Below are 6,000 nucleotides of genomic sequence, written 5' to 3'. Positions count from 1 at the left end.
CAGCCACCTACTACCCTTCCCAGGCTCTGCTAACCATCCTTCTACTTTCTATGTCCATGAGTTCAATTGTTTTGATTTTTAGATCCCACAAATAAGGGAGAACATGCGATGTTTGTCTTTCTGTGCCTGGCTTATTTCACTTAACATAATGATTCCAGTTCTATCCACGTTATTGCAAATGACAGGATCTCATTTTTTATGGCTGAATAGTACTCCATTGTATATATGTACCACATTTTCTTTACCCATTTATCTGTTGATGGGCACTTAGATTGCTTCCAAATCTTAGCTATTGTGAACAGTGCTGCTGCAAACATGGGAGTACAGATACCTCTTTCATATACTGATTTCCTTTCTTTCCCAAAAGAAAGGAAATCAGTATATGAAAGATCCAGCAGTGGGATTGCTGGGTCACATGGTAGCTCTACCTTTAGTATTTTGAGGAAACTCCAAACTGCTTTCTTTTCTTTTTTTTTTTTTTTTTCGAGACAGAGTCTCACTCTGTGGTCCAGGCTGGAGTGCAGTAGCACAATCTTGGCTCACTGCAACCTCTGCCTCCTGCATTGAAGCGATTCTTGTGCCTCAGCCTCCTGAGTAGCTGAGTTTACAGCTGTGCACCACCACGTCCAGCTAATTTTTGTATTTTTAGTAGAGATGGAGTTTTGCTATGTTGGCCAGGCTGGTCTCAAATTCCTGGCCTCAAGAAATCCACCTGCCTTGGCCTCCCAAAGTATTGGGATTACAGGCATGAGCCACCACACCCGGCCCTCCAAACTGTTTTCCATAGTAGTTGTACTAATTTACGTTCTCACTAACAGTGTACTAGGGTTTCCTTTTCTCCACATCCTCGCCAGCATTTGTTATTGCCTGTCATTTGGATATAAGACATTTTAACTAGGGTAAGATGATATCTCATTATAGTTTTAATTTGTATTTCTCTGATGATCAGTGGTGTTGAGCACCTCTTCATATGCCTGTCTGCCATCTGTATGTCTTTTGAGAAGTGTCTATTCAAATATTCTGCCTATTTTTTGATCAAATTATTAGAATTTTTCCTACAGAGTTGTTTGAGCTTCCTATATATTCTGGCTATTAATCCCTTATCAGATGGGTAGTTTGCAATTATTTTCTCCCATTCTGTAGGTTATCTCTTCACTTTACTGATTGTTCCCTTTGCTGTGCAGAAGCTTTTTAACTTGATGTGTTCCCATTTGTCCATTTTTGCTTTGGTTGCCTGTGCTTGTTGGATATTACTCAAGAAATTTTCGCCCAGATCAGTGGCCTGGAAATTTTCCTTAATGTTCTCTTGTAGTAGTTTTATAATTTGAGGTCTTAGATCTAAGTCTTTCATCCATTTTGATTTGATTTTTGTATACAGTGAGACACAAGGGTCAAGTTTCATTCTTCTGCATATAGACATCCAGTTTTCCCAGCACTATTTATTGAAGAGACTGTCTTTTCCCCGGTATATGTTCTTGGCACCTTTGTCAAAAATGAGTTCACTGTAGGTGTGTGGATTTGTTTCTGGGTTCTCTATTCTGTTCCATTGGTTTATGTGTTTTTATCCCAGTTCCATGCTCTTTTGGTTACTATCACTTTGTAGTATAATTTGAAGTCAGGTAATGTGATTCTTCCAGTTTTATTCTTTTTGCTCAGGATAGCTTTGGCTATTCTGGGTCTTCTGTGGTCCCATACAAATTTTAGAATTATTTTTTTTTATTTCTGTGAAAAATGTCATTGGTATTTTATTTTGATAGGGATTGCATTGAATCTATAGATCACTTTGGGTAGTAACAGTATTGACTCCTCCAATTCATGAACATGGAATATTTTTCCATTTTTTGGTGTCCTCCGAAATTTCTTTCTTCAGTGTTTTATAGTTTTCATTGTAGAGATCTTTCACTTCTCTGGTTAATACCGAGGTAATTAATTTTATTAGTGGCTATTGTAAATTGAATTACTTTTTAAATTTCTTTTTCAGATTGTTCACTGTTGGCATGTAGAAATGCTACAGATTTTTATATGTTGATTTTGTATCCTGCAACTTTACTGAATGTATCAGTTCTAACAGTTTTTTTTCATGGCATCTGCAGGTTTTTCCAAATATAAGATCATATCATCTGCAAACAAGGATAATTTGACTTCTTCCATTCCAATTTAGATGCCCTTTATTTCTTTCTCTTGTCTGATTGTTCTAGCTAGGGCTTCTAGTGCTATGTTGAACAACAGTGGTGAAAGTAGGCCTCCTTATTGCATTCCAGATCTTAGAGGAAAGCCTTTAAGTTTTTCCCCATTCGGTACGATACTAGCTGTGGGTCTGTCATACATGGTCTTTATTATGTTGAGGTATGTACCTTCTACACCCGGTTTTTTGAGGGTTTTTAGCATGAAAAGATGTTGAATTTTATCAAATGCTTTTTAGCATCAATTGAAATGATCATACAGCTTTTATCCTTCATTCTCTTGATATGATGTATCACACTGATTGATGTGCATATGTTGAACCATCCTTGCATCCCAGGGATAAATCCCACTTGGTCATGATGAATGATCTTTCTAATGTATTGTTGAATTCAGTTTGCTGGTATGTTGTTGAGAATTTTTGCATCAATATTCATCAGTGATATTGCCCTGTAGTTTTCCTTTTTTAATGTGTCTTTTTCTGGTGTTGGTATCAGGGCAATACTGGCCCTGTAGAATGAATTTGGAAGTATTCCCTCCTCCTCTATTTTTTGGAATAGTTTAAGTAGGATTGGTATTAGTTCTTCTTGAAATGTTTGGTAGAATTCAGCAGTGAAGCCATTGGGTCCTGGGCTTTTCTTTATTGGGAGACTTTTTATTATGACTTTAATCTAATTACTTGTTATTGGTCTGTTCAGGTTTTGGATTTCTTCATGGTTCAGACTTGATAGGTTGTGTGTGTTTAGGAATCTGTCCATTTCTTCTAGATTTTCCAATTTATTGGCGTATAGTTGCTCATAGTAGCCATTAAAGATCCTTTGAATTTCTGCAATATCATTTGTAATGTCTCCTTTTTCATTTCTGAATTTATTTGTATCTTGTCTCTTTTTTTCTTAGTGTGGGTAAAGGTTTGTCAATTTTGTTCAACTTTTCAAAAAAACATTTTTTTGTTTCATTATCTTTTGAATTGTTTTCTTCCATTCAATTTCATTTATTTCTGCTCTGATTTTTATTATTATTTTTCTTCTACTAATTTTGGGTTTGGTTTGCTCTTGCCTTTCCAGTTCTTTAAGATGCATCATTAGATTGTTTAAGTTTATTATCTTCTTTGATGTAGGAACTTACAGCTATTAACTTCCCTCTTAGTACTGTTTTTACTGTATCCCATAGGTTTTGGTATGTTGTGTTTCCACTATCATTTGTTTGAAGAATTTTTTTATTGTTTTTTTTTTTTTTTTTGAGACAGGGTCTCACTCCATTACCCAGGCTGGAGTGCAGTGGCTTCATCTTGGCTCACTGCACCCTCTGCCTCCCAGGTTCAAGCAATTCTCCTGCCTCAGCCTCCCGAGTAGCTGGGATTACAGGTGCCTGCCACCATGCCCAGCTGATTTTTGTATTTTTAGTGGAGATTGGTTTTCACTATGTTGGCCAGGCTGATCTTGAACTTCTGACCTCAAGTGATCTGCTTGCCTTGGCCTCTCAAAGTGCTGGGGTTACAGGCATGAACCACTGTGCCTGGCCCAGTTTCAAGAATTTTTAAAATTTCCTTAATTTCTTCATTGACCCACAGTAATTTGGGAGCATGTTGTTTAATTTATATGCATTGTGTAGTTTCCAAAATTCCTCGTTACTAATTTCTAGTTTTATTCCAATGTGGTCAGGGAAGATGTTTGATCTTATTTCAGTTTTTCTGAATGTTTTAAGACTTGTTTTGTGATCTACCATATGGTCTATCCTTAAGAATAATACATGTGCTGAGGAAAAGAATGTGTATTCTGAAGATATTGGATGAAATGTTCTGTAAATAGCTATTAGATTTGGTTTACAGTGCAGATTAAGTCCAATATTTCTCTGTTGATGTTCTGTCTGGAAGATGTGTCCAATGCCAAAAGTGGGGTATTGAAGTCTCCAACTATTATTGTATTGGAGCTTATTTCTCTCTTTAGCGCTAATAATATTTATGTATACATCTGGGTGCTCCAGTGTTGGGTTCATCTATATTTAAATTTGTTATATCCTCAAGCTGAATCAATCCCTTTGTCATTATATAGTGACCTTCTTTGTCTCTTCTTATAGTTTTTGTCTTGAAATCTATTTTGCCTGATATAAGTTTGGCTTCTCCTGCTCTTTTTTGGTTTCTATTGGCATGGAATATCTTTTTCCATCCCCTTAGTGTATCTGTATAGGTGAAGTGTGTTTCTTGTAAGCAACAGATCAATGGGTCTTGTTTTTCCATCCATTCAGCCACTCTGTGTCTTTTGATTGGAAAGTTTACTCCATTTACATTCGAAGTTGTCATTGATAAGTAAGGACATACTCCTGCCATTTTGGTATTTGTTTTCTGGTTGTTTTTATTTTTTGTGTGTATGCATTGCATGTTTTTTGGTTTGAGGTTACCATAAGACTTACAAATACTATCTTATAACCCATTATTTTAACATGATAACAACTTAACACTGTTTGCATAAGCAAACAAGCAAAAAGAAAACTACTAAAAACTCTATGCCTTAACTTCATCCCCGTTTTTTAACTTTTTGTTGTTTCTATTTATATCTTATTATACTATGAATGTCTCAAAAAGTTGTTGTAGTTATTACTTTTATTGGTTCATTGTTTAATCTTTGTACTTAGGATAAGGGTAATTTACACAACACAGTTACAGTGTTAAATACTCTGTGTTTTTCTGTGTACTTACCATTACCAGTGAGTTTTCTACCTTCAGGTGATTACTTGTTGCTAATTATCATCCTTTTCTCTCTGTTTGAAGTAACTCCTTTAGCATTTCTTTGGTTTTTTGTTTGTTTGTTTTTTTGAGACAGAGTCTTGCTCTGTTGCCCAGGCTGGAGTGCAGTGGCATGATCTTGGCTCACTGCAACCTCCGTCTCCTGGGTTCAAGCAATTCTACCTCAGCCTCCTGAGTACCTGGACTTACAGGCGCCCACCACCATGCCCAGCTAAGTTTTGCATTTTTAGTAGAGATGGGGTTTCACCACGTTGGCCAGGCTGGTCTCCAACTCCTGACCTCAGGCAATCTGCCCACCTCGGCCTCCCAAAGTTCTGGGATTACAGGCATGAGCCACTGTGCCCAGCCCCCTTTAGCATTTCTGGTAGGACAGGTCTGGTGTTGATGAAATCCCTCAGCTTTTGTTTGCCTGGGAAAGAATTTCTCCTTCATGTTTGAAGGATATTTTCCATGGTTATACTACTCTAGAGTAAACATAATATTCCATTTTAAGTAATTAGACAAAGAAGACTAAGACCAAAGCAAGCAGGAGGAAGGAAACAGTAAAGGCCAGAGCAGAAACAAATGAAATAGAGAAGAGAAAAACAATAGAATCAATAAAACCAAAAGTAGGTTCTTTCAAAATATCTACAAAATTGACAAACCTTTAGCTAGACTGACTAAGAAAAGAGAGAAGACTCAAATTACTAAAATTAGGAATAAAAGAGGTGACACCACCACTAACCTTACAGAAATAAAAGGGATTATAAGGGAACACTGTGAACATGAAAACAAATTAGATAACCTGGATAAAACGGACAAATTCCTAGAAACACACAAACTACCAAAACAGAATAAAAAGAAATAAAAAATCTGAACAGAAGTATAACAAGGGATTGAATCAATAATCAAAAAATTTCCCACAAACAAAAGCCCAGGGCAGATGGCTTCCTTTGTGAATTTTACCAAATGTTTAAAAAAGAATTAACATTAATCCTTCACAAACTATGCAAAAAATAGAGGATGGACTTCCCAACTCATTCTACGAGGCCAGTATTACCCTAACACCAAAACCATGCAAAGACATCACAAGAAAC

Source organism: Homo sapiens, chromosome 14 (genome assembly GCF_000001405.40).
Source record: "Homo sapiens chromosome 14, GRCh38.p14 Primary Assembly".
Classification (NCBI taxonomy): Eukaryota; Metazoa; Chordata; class Mammalia; order Primates; family Hominidae; genus Homo; species Homo sapiens.
This window is presented reverse-complemented; position numbering follows the sequence as displayed.